We start from the raw sequence: 15,121 nt of genomic DNA, 5'->3' as shown, positions 1-15,121 counted from the left end.
ATTACATTCTTGGGAAAAGAAATTTGTGTTTGATTTTCCTTTTCCGGTGGACTACCTCTCTGAAGTACTTTGCATCAAGTCTTTAAACATGATACAGTGAAAGCTTCTCAGCCTCCTATCTGCAGTGATGTTTTTGTCTTATTTAACCCAACCTTTTCTTCCCCTATTGGTGATGGGTTCTTGGGCAAAGCTACCTTCATCTAAAAGGTTCCAGGAAAAAAAAAATAAAAGCATGCTCTTTAAAAATATTATTTATGTATTTACATTGTTCATTAGTTTACACTGTGTTTCCTTTGTTCCCTAGCCTGGAACAATGTCCGGCCTGGCTTTGTCCTCAGCCATATTGCCTGCTCTCTTTATATCACAAAATGTTAAGTTAAAACGTCAAAAAGTGGTCAAAAGCTATTCTTTCTAGTGGCTGATTGGCTTAAATAAAGTTTGAGAGTCTTTGACTCTCAGAGCTTAAATGAGCTTAATGGAAATTTTGAGCAAAGCTTAAAAAGCCAAATCTGTCTATCATGGCTTGTGAAAGGAATGTCATGACTCTGAGTAGCTGGAATCCATAAGCTGCTCATAGTTACTGACTCTAAGTAGATACCAAGGCCTATCTTGCTCTTATTGATCTGACCTGTGCAAAGTGTTCGAGCAGGCAGGTAGTAGTTAATGCAACGCCATGCTAGCTTGTGCTTTAACCTAAGTTAAGAACCTGAAGCCCGTGATAATGGGGATTAGCACTGATGTAAAGATAATCTCTGTCCTTTGCAGCTATTCTTGTCTGTGTCAGGATTATTTTCCAAATCACCGTGGTTGTAACATTGATGCATCTTTAACTCTGCTGCCTGCCATAGTCCCTGGAGGACCGTTAGTTGCCATGGTTGTCTCTTCTAGCTCTGAAAGATACATCCTTCCTTTTCCACCGTTAGTTTCATAGGCAAGGACCTTCTTTCTGCCCTGACTTGTCAAGATGACCTCCAACAAGTCTGCCTCCTCTTGCCACAGTAGGCTTCCTAGACCTAGGTCATATTTATCAGGATCTGCCTCTGCTTAAAAACTCTCAGCCAGTTGTTACCTGCAGAGTAAAACCCCTGTCAGTAACCAAAGAAGATATTGTTGTGAGCAACAGCTATGGGCAAGATCCAATGCTCGGTGCTGTAGGAACCCAGATCATGTCCACTTGCTTCTTCACCTTGTGTCCTTGGTTAGTTTATAATTTCCTGTAGGTCAGGAATTATACTTGATGTGTAGAAGTGCCCAGCAACAAGACTGGCTTTTCATCAGCATTCTTGATTACATAGCTTCAGTTGATGATAGCTCATTAAGGCATACAGCCTGGAAACTTATATACGTAGTCCTCTCAAGGCTGTTAGATGTGGCTCCTAATATTTTTGAAACTGTCTATTTAGAATTCTCTTCAGGTCTCCTGAGTTATGAAAAGAGTCTTGTTACTCCATCCTTTTGTTCAAGACAATTTACTGAATGCCTGCTTAGTACCAGGCACCATGCCAAGCCCTTGGTATGCCAAAATGTGTGAAAGCCCACAGAACAGACTGCCAGGAACACACCAGAGGCAAACAAACTTAGCTTTATTACCTTGCTGCTGCAGTAAGAGAGAGTCACACTGTGGAGAGGTGTGGGGCATTTCAACAGGTGGAAGCTTGGGAAGAATATCTATAGAGTTTGCAGGGCAGAAGTTAGTTATAGGATGCTCTTAGAAGAGATTGCTCGGAATTCATAAACCAGGAAGTTGCTGGAACAATTGGTGCTCTTATCTTGAGGACACGTGACTCTGTGGTGTTATAGGTAGATCAGTTTGTCTGTGGCCTTATTTAGAACATATGTGATATAGTTTGGATATATGTCTCCACCCAAATCTCATGTTTGGGAAATGTAAGCCCCAGTGTTGAAGGTGGGGCCTGGTGGGAGGTGTTTGGATCATGGGGGTGAATCCCTCATGAATGGCTTTGGCCATCCTCTTGGTGATGAGTGAGCTCTTGCTCTGAGTTCGCAGGAGATCTGGTTGTATAAAAGTGTGTGGCACCTCCCCTTTCTCTTGCTCCTGTTTTCGCCATGTGATGTGCCTGCTACCCCTTTGCCTTCCACCATGACTGGAAGCTTCCTGAGGCCTCCCCAGAAGCATATGCCACTGTGCTTCCTATACAGCCTGCAGAACCGTGAGCCAATTAAATCTCTTTTCTTATAAATTACCCAGGCTCAGGTATTTCTTTATATCAGTGCAAGAATGGCTGAATAAAATATGTGTCTGAATGAGCAGGTATAGAGTCCGGGTTTAGTTTGTTTTGCATGTCATGGCTTATACAGGTTTTCAATGTTGTGAATAATAATCTAATTTTGCAAGTTATGGTTTTGGTTTGAATTTTCAGATCCTTCTCGCATCTTAGTTGCCAGCTGAATTGGCTTTCCCTTCATCAGAAGGATAATGACAGAGTTCCTGTTCTCAAGAAGTCCCCAGTCTGGGCTATTGTAATATAATTTGATGTGTACCATAATAGAGATAATAAATAAGCTGTTACTGAGTTCAGAAGAAGCAAACTTTTTAAAAAAACTATAACTTTGTTGAAATCCTACCATATACAAGGCTCTACACAATTAGGCACTGCTCAAGTGCCATACATTGTTTGATCCTCAGCAATCCTACAAAGTAGCTGTTATTTTTCTTTCAAATTTTAAAGACAAAAAAGTGAGATGCAAAAAAAGTTAGATGGGCCACTCAAGGTCACCCAGCTAAGAGATGGTTTTAGGACTTTATTAAACAAATACTTGCTGGGTATTGTTCTAGGTGCTTTATATAAGCTCCAAAGTAGACCTCTGAAGTAGCTACTACTCTATTCTATTTCATCATTGAGAGTAATGAGCCTTGGGGATATGAAGGAACTGGTCTAAAGGCACAAGGCTCATGACCATGTAGTAGAGGCAGGATTCAGACCCCAGCCATGTGGCTCTCCGGGCCATGCACATGGCAACCTTGCCCTGCTGCTTCTCCTCAGCCCTTGTCATTGGACTTTCATGTCTGTGTCTTTAACCACTGTGCTAGTGTGGCTCACAGACAGGAGAAGCTTCACAGAAGGGTTGACCTGTGGGCTGGGGTTTACTAGATAAATAGGATATCTCTGGATGGATCAGGAAGAGAAGGCTGTGACACTTCATTCAGGAACAGTAGCCCTCAAGGAGCCCTGGGAACAGGGAAAAACTCTGCTGGGCCAGGGGTGGGGTGAGGCTTGAGTGTGTAGAATCAGAGAGCTGTGGGTGGCAGTGATAGAGCTGGAGACACTATCACTAGAGTAATAGTGTTGGAACCAGATTGGGACTTCACAGTCGCCCCTTGCATTTGACCAACAGGATGCTTCTCTTCCCAATACCTCCCTTGGCTCTGAATGGTCACTCTTGTCTCAATTCATCCCCTAAGGAGAGAGATCACCAAAGTTATACATACTGAAGGCAGTTCCAGAGAAGAAGTTCTAGAAATGTGTTAAGTAAAAGAAGCTTCAGGAAAAAATGCTGCCTAAAGATATTCTTATGGCAATTGCTTTGGTGAACATAACACTTATTTTAATGTCTACCTCCTCATAAGTTAGAGAAAGAAAATGTCACTACTTTTCATCAGTCCAGAGTCTGGAAGAGCAGCTTTTATTTATGCAGTGCTGGGAGGTGACTTGCATTTAATCTTCACATCAATTCTATAAGGAAGATGCTATTCATATCTCAGTTGTATAGATGAAGAAACTGAGGCTCAGAGGACTCCAAGGAGTTTAGCACGTCGCACAGTGATAGGTGGTAAAGTCAAGATTTCAACCTGGTTTGATTTCAGAGTTTGTTCTGCCACATTGCTTCAAGAAGTCTATGTCCTTTTAGCTTGTGAAAGTGCAGTATGTCCCAAACACAATGGAGAGTCAGTAGCAGGAGAGGCAGGAGCAGCCTGGAGTAGTAGGGAGAGGCAGTAGTAGGAGGACCAAGAGGAGGGAACTTGTTGGAGCTTCACCTACCCTTCCCCATTCTGTGCCAGACCTGCCCCTGCTTCCCATCCTTGGGACTTCCTGGTGTAAAATAGTTTCCCACCCAGTGTTACTCCTTAGACAGCAAGAGTTAGTCCAAAAGCCAAAGACTGAAACTCCAGGTCCTACTGTGGGCAGTGGAGCTCCTCTTCCCTTTGCTGGGACATTGGTTCAACAGCCAATTAGCAGATGTATTTGTGTTGACCCTTCTGTTACCAACCTAGTAGTTTACTTATTTAACTAATGACAGGTGCCCTTGTTAGGCGCTGTGGGCACAGCAAGGTCTTTGATGACTCTGGAAAACTGATGATATTTGTAATTTGGGGTACGGCATTCTAAATTTATGTAGCACCAGGGAAAAAGTGGCGGCAGTAGGTAATGAGCCCAGGGCTACACATTCTGGAAATAGAAGGAATGGTTTGTTACCATCTTTTTTTTTTTTTCCTGTAGAGTGAGCTTGTGGATTAATTATTTTAGTTTGTTAACTTACTCTAAGTAGGGCTTGTCCCTTTGACCCTTTGCATGCCCCTGCCATCCGTGGTATCTAGTATGGCTAATAAGCATGAGACCACCAGTTTCTGAATCCTGGTTCCTCGGCTTATCTTGGACGAGCTATTTAAACTTTTTGTGCCTTACTTTTTTTATTTTGAAGATGGAAATAAGAGTTTCTACTTTATAGGGTTGTTCGAAAGATTAAGTAAAAAAAAATCCTGGAAAATCACTCAGCACATTGCTCAGCACATAGTAAGAGCTCAGTAAAGGATAAGAATAGTAAATGTTGAGTGAGCACCTGTTGTGTGCCAGGCCTGGGCATGGGCTGAACACTGCACAGCTCCCAGGGGTGCCTTTCACATGGACAACGATGTGAATGTGACTCTGGAGTTGTGCAATGCAATGACCCCATTCCAGAAACTGCTGTGAGTGCTTCACATGTGTTCGCTCTTTCAGCCTTACAACAACCCATTATTATTCCCGTTTATAATTGGGACAGAGAGATGTTAATGGCTTTGCTCAAGTTTAGCCAGCTGGTAAGTGGCAAAGCTGGGGTGTGAGCCATTCATATTATTGTGGTGTGGACCAGCACAGTTGACCTCTTTCCTGTCAGACACAAAATGGAGGAAAGATCTCCTCAATAGTTTGATTTTCTTTATTAACCCATAATGCATGGCTTGTCTTTGTGTATTTTAATATTTCTTAGAAGCATTTATATTTTTAGCCTTAAATAATACATATAATTACAGTTTAATAATAGAAATTCATAAATTCACTTGACCTTGGGAAAAGGTTATATACTGTTACTTATCAAGTTCAACTATATGTGATTAGGGCAGAAGAAAGGAAAGAGGAAATGGGGGCTGGGGAGAGAGAGAATGAAAACAAGCCCACCGGACATTTGAGTAGTACCAGCACATCTATCCACCCATCCATCTGGCTTCAGGGAAGGATATGTCAGCAGCCCATGTTCTTTGCTCAGATGGCGTCAGTTCCCATGCGACTTTCATAATGCAGGCATCTTGCCACATGGAGTGTAGTAATGCACTTTTCATACAACATAGCCTATAAATGAAGCCAGATACTTTAGCTGCTGCTCAACCAGAGAAGCAGGGGTTTGCTCCAATATCAGAAGAAAAAACTAGCTGTGCTGGAATTGTTGACAAGTGACATGGCAAGTCCCCAGTGAGACACCTTTCTGAGGGATTTTCAAGAGGACCATCCTCTTCAAAAGACCATTTTTTGCTCTGCGTGGTGGTCAGTGGTTTTCTGAAATGGTTCTGGGTCCTCCATGGCACCTGCCTTGGCCACAGACGATCTAGGAAAAGCACCAACAGATTTGTTCCATTCTTCTATTTTCTACTACTGTCAACCTGAGTCCTTCCTTGACCTAGCCAGCCCCTTTTGCACAGGATGGTTCGCTGAGCTGTATTGCTCTCTCTTTTCAGGGTCTTGTATTGCCTTCCTCTATTGGCACCAGAAACCTCTGACCCCCAGCCCTTCCCGAACTTTCTTGCCTTTTACTTGCCTGGGAGGAGAACTCAGACACATGAATTGGTACTATTTATGTCTCAGGTAACTTTTTGTAACCTTCTGAATCCTTCAAAATTAGTTTTCTTCCTCCCCAAATTTCATTCAGGAGGCCAAAATAAGAAAGTTTTTCATTTTAAGGTTAAAGTCTCTGTGATAGTGAGATTACAATAGAGACAGATCAATAATGACTCCTTTTCCCTCAAATTCTCATCCTGCTTGCTGCTCTAAGGGTAGCAGCCTCATAGGAACAGGTAGCATTGGTGGCGTTTCCATGAGAGGTTAGGGGCACCTGATGATTGATAGCAATTATGACAAGGCTGTATAGTTTCTCTGATTGCCACACTGAGGTGACTCAGGGCACCATCAGAATTGGAGGAGATGAATTTTTTATATAAAAATAGGATGTTGTCGATACAATGCAGTCAAAAAATGAGTCACCATGCCCTCTACACCCTAACAAAGTATGCCTTCGTTTCTGCTTAAGACCCAAATAAATTACTTTCTGCAACTGCCATTCACAGAACCAAATTAGAGCCTAGCTAAGATGGAGCAGAATATTTTTGTCTGGGACAAAGCAAATCAAAATGGCAAGATTACCAGTTAGTACAAGGGCCTAGCCACAGTGGGCATTCAGGTTTTAGTTCGTCTGCTGTGTGCTCAGGGGATTTTTGTTCTGCAAGTTACTTTTATGATATCTACTAATAGATAGGTGGTTGGCAGGGGGCTATATTTAGGAGAATATTGCTTGCCCTAATGCTGTGGGAGCCTGAGAGAATGTGGTTGTATTAGTCCATTTTTATGCTGCTGATAAAGATATACCTTAGACTGGGCAATTTACAAAAGAAGTAGCTTTAATGGACTCACAGTTCCATGTGGCATGGAGGCCTCACAATCGTGGCAGAAGGTGAAAGACACCTCTCACCTGGAGGCAGACAAGAGAAGAAAACTTGTGCAGGAAACTCCCCTTTATAAAACCATCAGATGTCATGAAACTTATTCACTATCCAGAGAACAGCAAGGGAAAGACACACCCCCATGATTCAATTACCTCCTACCGGGTCCCCCCGACAACACATGAGAATTGTGGGAGCTACAATTCAAGATGAGATTTGGGTGGGGACACTGGCCAAACCATATCAGTGGCTTAGAAACATGAATACAGAACCTGAATTGAGCCTATTTCTTCATTTTCCCACCTGATTGCTTTGAATTAATCAGGACTTCAGTGGAATGCTATCTCCCTCCCTGGCTTCCTCAAAGCTGGGTTCATTGTACCTCCTAGGTCTTGCCCATAATTTCTCTCTCAAGGCTATCATCACGTTTTGTAAGAATTACCTGTTCTGTGCACTTTTTACAGGTTGAGACTGTGACATAATTAGTAGCAAAAACAGTGTCTGGCATATAATTGGTGATTCCTTGTGGAATGAATGAGTGAATGAATGAATGGTGTTAAGATGTTATGTTTCTCCTTTTTTCAGCAAGTTTCTTAAATAAAAAACCAGGACGAATTCTACCAGGGGATGTGGCAAGATCATGCAGGCTCTCAATAAAAGCACTATCTAAGCATCCTACTTACTGACCCAGGCATGCTGGGACTTTTATTTAAAGAAATGTGATGTGAAAGGCTGTGTTAACCCCCTAAACCCAATTGTCAGAGAATCTGAAATTGTAAAAGCTTCAAAACCTGAAAATGAATGCAAATTCTTTTTCTTATCATTTCTGTACTATAACCAGGAGAACGAGAGGGCCTAGGACCAGATCTCTTTAAAGTGAGGTGGGCACTTACAGATACCACAGCTCTAATCAGATGAGGGTTAGTCCATAAGTCACTTATTCCAAGGAAACTAAAGGAGTTTTGAAAGCCAGGAGAAGCAAGTGAGTCAGCAGAACAACATCAGCAAACAGGGCTATAGTCCGTCAATCTAAGAACATGATATTTCCTGTCTCCTTTAAACTGCATATGGACAGCTCCAGGATTAGAGTCAGTGTTCTGGGTTTTTATAATTGAATGTTATATCACAAAATTGTTTTCCAAGTTGCCACATTATAATTTTAAACAAAGTCATAGCATCCTATTAAATCAATCTTCTCTAATTTGGTTGGTTGGTTATTTCCAATTTTTTTAAACTATAATAAGTAATGTTGCCATGAGCATCTTTTTATGTATAAAGTTTCTTTATTCCTTTAGGATGAATTAGTAGTGCATTAAGGGTGAGAAACAATTTTGTGGCTCTGGATACACATTGCCAGAATATTTTTCAAAGGGCTGTAGTGAATACATCCAGGGCCTATTTTAGCTCCTTTTGAAAACTGTGTGCTCTGCTCACTGACATTCACTGCTTTGTGATCACCTGTACTTGTTATAAATCTGAAACTGTATACTTCACATTGCTCCCTCTTTATCACTTGCCACACAGCCCACACAAAAGCCAGGTTCCCACGAGGTTCAGTCCCAGTAGAGCACCAAATTCAAAATTAATTAGAAATATTTAATTTTGATCTTTATTGTTTCTCTCAAAGAAATCTAATGGACATTCTTAAAACTCCAGTCCTCTCCTTTTCAATCCTGACTCAGGCTGCACTTGCTAGACGCCTCTCCATCTCTCTTTCCATTGCTATCTCACCTCTCACTGGCTTCTCTGTTTTTTTTTTTTTTTTTTTTTTCTGCTGGCACCTGCTGTCTAGCTCATTTATCCAGCCATCTTCCCCAAGGCCCATGCAACCCACAGGGCTCTTCTTGCTGTACAGAACCTCTCTGGGGAAATAGAGTCTAAATGTCCTCTAGGGGATTTTCTCTCTCAGACTCAGACTTCATATAACAAGGGAAAAACCCTGAAGCTGACTTGGTAAGCAAGAATATACCTTCATTAGAAGCAGACAAGGATAGGGGAAGACCATGGATAGTCACATATTAATAATTTTGTCCCTACCACAGATAACGACAACAGCAATAATAACAACAGCACTTATATGTTTAGTCAGGCCAGGCACTGTTCTAAGCACTTGACGTGTATTGTCACTGAGTCTTCATAACAACCTTTTGAATTAACTAATATGATCAACTCCATGTTTTAGTTGAAGAAACTGAACTAGATAATGTTTCAAGTAAGTTTCTCGATGTCATACAGTAAGTGACAGAGCTGGGATATTCACTAGGTGATCTGGCTCTAAAGTCTGGGTTCTTAACTGCCCTACTCTACTGCTTCAGCCTGTGTAAATACATACACACACATACATGCACGCATACATGCATATGTTAATCTGTTGTATATTACGTATATAACACTTTTCAGATTTTCCATATGTTGTCAAAATGTAGAGCAAGAACTTGAAAACACTATGGAGTACCCATTTCTTAGGAGTTACTTTTTTTTTTCTTTTCTTTTCTTTTTTTTTTTCTTTTTTTTTTTTTGAGACGGAGTCTCGCTGTTTCGCCCAGGCCGGACCGCAGTGGCGCGATCTCGGCTCACCGCAAGCTCCGCCTCCCGGATTCCCGCCATTCTCCTGCCTCAGCCTCCCGAGTAGCTGGGACTACAGGCGCCCGCCACTACGCCCGGCTAATTTTTTTGTGTTTTTAGTAGAGACGGGGTTTCACCGTGTTAGCCAAGATGGTCTCGATCTCCTGACCTCGTGATCCGCCCGCCTCGGCCTCCGAAAGTGCTGGGATTACAGGCATGAGCCACCGCGCCCGGCCATGAGTTGCTTCTTTTAATTAAAAATTCCTTTTCCAGGTGAGTTTGTGCTACTGTGTCAGTCTGTGTGTCAGATCTTGTTGATCTAGGTTATGCTGTTACTTTATTACTTCTCGTGATGGAAAAGGCGTGTTTTGACAAGGTCGGTGGAAAGATGTAATACATCTTGGACTCTGGAATATCCATCTAGTAAAATGGATGTGCAGTATACTGACAGGGGTGGTGCTGAGGCTCTGAAGGAAAGGAGTTTGTAATTTAAGTTGCTTTTAACAATTTCTCAAGTAAATGTACACATCCTGCCTCTGTCTTGGATTTGTTTTTCATGCATTGGCTTTTATCACTTATATTTTTCTTTTGGATATGCCAATTAGGTGGCCCAGTTCATTGTTTTCCGCCCAGAGACGTGCACGATGCAGTGCTCAAATCAGATATCCCTTCTCCTTCGGAAAAAATGGTTGGATATTACATACATGGACACACCTTTCTCAGTCAGAGGACAAAAGTAGGAAGTTTTTGATTTTGTTCAAGAAGAAAATGTCTGGCAATTTAGGTCACTCTTCACAGGAAAAATTGGCTTTAAAAACATTAATCAAACGTGCACTTTGAAACACTGCTGCTAGTCTGCCCTTCAAAGAGGAGTGCATGTTGAGAAAAGGCAATAGTCGCCCCGTTTTCTGTAGTGGAAAGAATGTTGGAATAGGAGTGAGGAGATCTGAGGTTGAGGCCATTTCTGCTGATTTGGGGGGCTTATCACTTATCCTCTGAGTTTTACTGTCTTCATCTGTGACATGAAGGTTTGCACTAAATACTGTCTATACCTTTCTTCATACATAATAAATTTAAGATAAACCCTCTGTGTAGGTGGCCTTTAAGATCCCATCTGTCCTATGCAGGTGTGATTCCGGGGACCCCCAGCATATCTAGCAGGGCATCAGCAGCACCTCCCTGCTGGAGAGTCTTCGCTCCCCTCACATTCTTATCAACCCCAGCTGGCTGGCTCAAGCTCAAAATTACCTAATTAGCAATTCTTTCCTTAAGATTAAGCACTGGGTGAGACAAAAATATTCCTGGAAGAATCCTTGTTAGCCATTTGCTATAATTATTTAGTTCTATTAACTAATCTAATAAGCATTAATTCAGTATATAAGCTATTAAAGATACTGAGTTGGGCTCTGGGTGTGTGTGGAGTTGGGTGAGGAGGAGTGCAAAGATGCAAGAGAGATGGCCCTGCCCTTGATGCTGGAGAATGGGCAAAGCTGCATAGAGTCAGATGACAGCTGCAAGTGTTGAGTGCTGTACGAGTTTAAATGGAGAGCGGGATTGCTGGCAGCTGCGGTGGGCAGGGATTTTCTCCTTTTTAAAATTGAGATCAGGTTTGAACATGACTTTGCAAGATGGCTGACTGAACAAAAGACACAGGTAAGAGTCTATGGCTTGACGTGAATCAGAGCTTATAGGTGGGAATAGCCAAGGCATGTTCAGAACCAGTTCAAGGCGAAGCCATAGTACCATAAAAGATGGATAAAGAATATCAGAATGTTGTGGGCTGGGCGCGGTGGCTCACGCCTGTAATCCCAGCACTTTGGGAGGCTGAGGCAGGCAGATTACCTGAGCTCAGGAATTCGAGACCAGCCTGGCCAACATGGTGAAACCCCATCTCTACTAAAAATACAAAAATTAGCCAGGCATGGTGGCACCTGCCTGTAATCCCAGCTACTCAGGAGGCTGAGGCAGGAGAATCGCTTGAACCTGGGAGGCGGAGGTTGCAGTGAGCCAAGATCGCGCCACTGCCTGGGCGACAGAGTGATACTCTGTCTCAAAAAAATAGAAAAAAGAAAAGGAAAGGAAAAAAGAAAGAAAGAAAACTGGATTGAGTTCAGTAAACAAAAAGGAATGATCATTTATTTTTGAACAAGCGAGTGATATACCAATGGCAATTTGAGGAATTTTGTGTGGCGGGAGTGTGCAAGATAGTTTTGAGAGGAAAGAGTCCCTAAGGCTTCCAAGTTCCAACCCTTACTCCTTGAATGTTATTAAATGCGTATTTTAAAAATTTGATCTGAAGATCCTTTTGGGAAGAAATGTTGAGTATAAATAGTCTTTCCAGCCAATATAAGCAGCTTGGGAAGAAAAACGAAATGTTTGAGGGATCCTAACGTGAAGGGACAGGGCTTGGAATGCCCGCTGGTTTTCTGGTCCCAGCAACATTAATGTTCATCCTCTTTCTTCCTTTAATTTTTCTAGCCCTTAAAACAGAGTAAAATGTCAAACTGTGAAAGACCACAACTGCTTTTCTTTGTTATATTTAGCCTTTCACAGTTTTTAAAAATATAAAAGCTATAGAATCTGCCTCATCTCTCATTTCTCCATCCTCTCACTGGCTGAGGACATATTTAACAGGTTTCATATTGGAATTACCAGGAAAGTTTGGGCTGTCTATGGCTGCATTACAAATCACCCTTGAGTCTAGGGGCTTAACACAACAATCACTTCCATACCTCACAAATCTCTAATCTGAGCTGGTCCAGGTGGGAGGGCTCAGGTCTGTTCTGCATACCATCAGCTGGGGTGGGTCGAGTGGAGGCTGGGGGGTCCACCTTCAAGACGGCTCACTCACATGACTGGCAGCTGGGAGCTTGGGCTGGGGGTGGGTCATCAGAAGACCCGGGGTGAGGGGAGCCCTGTCTTCTGTCCACGTGCACCCCTCCATGGCTTGTTGGCTTCCACGCAGCATGGCGGCGGAGTTCCAAAGGTGAACATCAGGGGTTGTAATATGCTTTATGTGAGTAACTTGGGTTGTGCTTTGAAAATTTTCACCCTTTGATTAAGGGATAAGGGTAGGCCCTTAAGCTACATAGTTCTTTAAAATCCATGTCCCTGACTCTGGTGTCCTCTGTCACAGGCTACTTAAAGGGCTGGTGTCCATGGGAGGTATTCCAGCTCCCAAAGTGTGTGGGGTGCCTAAGTTCTCAGCAGAGATGGGAAGTTGAGTCACAGTGATGTGAACTGAGGTGATGGTGGGTACCCCCTGGGTAGAGTTGTCTTGGAGAAGCACAGAATCAATCATTAAATACCATTCTCTGTGACTTAAAAGTCAAGTGCTGGGTTTTCACCACTCCCTTGATCTTGCTCAAAAGGAAACTTAATCAAGAGAATGTTGCTGTACTCCGCTTGCTTCAAATGGGTTCTGCGTGGCTAAGGTTACATTTGGTAGCTCTTGGCTTGTCTTCAGTTTCAAATGTAGGGTGAGAGAGGATGTTGTTTGGAGAGTCCTCTAAGCCCTCTCTGCTGATGGAAAGAACGTGTTTCAGTGCTTATTGGCCTCCTAAGTTTCTGAGAGTTGTTTTTGAGTCATTTAGAAATAATTAAACTGGGTTAAGCAAATGCTTTTTGCTTCAGAGCTTCAACATTTATTAGTCAGTTGTCCTGTAGAGCAGGTTTTTGCCCTTATTCTTCAAAGCTCAGGCCATTTATTCTATAAGTGATGCTATCTGATGTCACAATGATATATATTGTTATACTGGTATTTATCAAGACTATGTAATGAAACCCTATGTTGGAAGAAGTCTATGTCTATACAATTAGTCTTGAAAGCAGGAGCTCTTTCCATTGGATGCAGTACCTGGAATTGTGGTATATAATATTTTAATTGAATACAGGATGTTTTTGGCATTAAAATCTTTAGGAAGGTTAAAGAGTTAGAAACAGAGAACTGTCCAAGTAATAAGGAGTGAGCCATTTTTATAAACATCCTGTTCCTTAGGTGCTCATGGTTTGTGGAAACCTCAGGTGGAGACATTTCTGAAGATTGCTAGACTGAAAATAATGTCACAGGGTCCAGGCAGGAAACATAGCATATTCGAGCAGGTGATTCAGGAGAGACCTATTTACAAAAGTGTCAGCATGGTTAAAAGAAACTAACAAAGGATGACGAAAGCACCCTGGGAAGCCACTGTAATCCCTAAGCCTGGAGGGGACTGGGTAGGGCACCAAACTCAGATGTGGGAGGTGCCACTGGACATGGGGCTGTGCCTTTCACAGAGGAGCACATCCACCCACCAGGAAGATGGTGGGAAGAGTAAACCCATCAGTTCCTCTTCTTTCTGATCACCTGCCAAGGAGTTCCATTGGCAAACCTCAACCAAAGCCCAGAAAGGCCAGAAGGCCCATTGCTACGTTCCATAAAATTCAGCCTTCTGGGGTACAGAGCAGTGTGGAGAAGGGTAGGGAGTGGATTTGAAGGAGCCAGCGGAAAGTATCCATCACAACACATACACACAACCCTACAGTTTCGGTTAGTTAATGTTTGTTTCACAAAGACAAGCTCATCATGGAGGCCTAAGTTGCATGGGTGAATTTAACATAAGTTTCTCTCTACTAAGAAAAGGGTGAAAATTCAGATTGCATAAAATTCATCCCAAAATATCATTAGCTCTGGGACAAAGAGAATTTGAAACTTCATATTTCTGGCTTGCTTCAGGCCATGGCATAGGGACGGAGTCCTGGGGTTAGGGAACAGGGGAGGGCTAAGGTATTTAGAAATAACCTTTCCTAAAGAAAAGGAAATCTTAGTTCTGTAACAGAAAATAAGCCCTCGGCAGAGCCCCTGAGATGAGCCAGGGGTGGGGAAGAAGAGAAAACATGCCCATCAATTAGGTGACAGCAGCCCTCACTACCTGGTAGCAGAGGGACAGAACCCCAAAGGTAGATGAACTTCTGTGATAAATGTGCTCAAAAGGGAGGACAGTTCTGAGACTCATTCAGCCTGTATCTCAGAAGCATATGTATCTGGTAGAATGTAGCCGCTTGGGGGTCTAGTCACACTGTGGCTTATTTCTTCTTTAAAAATGGAATTGTTTAGACTCTGCATACTCAGTGGGTTTAGGCTGCCTTTTGGTGCTGAAGCTGCCCAAGATGGAAGGGAAGAGCATGTGTCTGCTAAACCCTTCACAGTTTCCAGTGTATGCTAATTTATTCAAGGTCACAGAACATATGTTACATGACAATGGTATAAGGATTTTTTTTTTTTTTTTTGAGATGGGGTCTCGCTCTGTCGCCCAGGCTGGAGTGCAGTGGTGTGATCACGGCTCACTACAGCCTCTGCCTCCCGGGTTCAAGCAATTCTCCTGCCTCAGTCTCCCAAGTAGCTGGGACTACAGGCGTGTGCCACCACACCCAGCTAATTTTTTTGTATTTTTGGTGGAGACGGAGTTTCACCATGTTAGCCAGGATCGTCTCGATCTCCTGACCTCCTGATCCACCAGCCTCGGCCTCTCAAAGTGCTGGGATTACAGGCATGAGCCACCATGCCCAGCTATGGAATTTTTTATGTATGAGAAATCATAGGAATTTTCAAGGCTATACCCTTTTTTTATGAGAAGCCTAACTTCTTGC

At 42.7% G+C, this 15,121-nt stretch overlaps 1 protein-coding gene and 1 long non-coding RNA gene across 14 annotated transcripts in view, besides 1 other annotated feature; one reads left to right on the top strand and one right to left on the bottom strand.

The window, feature by feature from the left end:
• The window catches only part of NCALD (neurocalcin delta), a 438,366-nt gene that overhangs the window by 127,306 nt on the left and 295,939 nt on the right, over positions 1-15,121 (top strand). The gene's annotated exons all lie outside the window — the stretch shown is intronic.
• LOC104054148 (uncharacterized) lies at positions 2,752-13,170 on the bottom strand. Its single transcript, NR_126152.1, has 5 exons — positions 12,226-13,170; positions 9,663-10,401; positions 5,397-5,567; positions 2,934-3,419; positions 2,752-2,874 (listed from the first exon to the last, which is right to left on the bottom strand). It is a non-coding gene; the product is annotated as an uncharacterized LOC104054148 (long non-coding RNA).
• Positions 12,846-13,035: an enhancer, noted in NCBI's record as "active region_27740". NCBI's record gives its function as "activates an Ori minimal core promoter by ATAC-STARR-seq in GM12878 lymphoblastoid cells {active_cell/tissue: GM12878}" and the evidence as "EXISTENCE:reporter gene assay evidence [ECO:0000049][PMID:35858748]".

This window comes from Homo sapiens, chromosome 8, assembly GCF_000001405.40.
Source record: "Homo sapiens chromosome 8, GRCh38.p14 Primary Assembly".
Lineage (NCBI taxonomy): Eukaryota > Metazoa > Chordata > Mammalia > Primates > Hominidae > Homo > Homo sapiens.
This window is presented reverse-complemented; position numbering and strand designations above follow the sequence as displayed.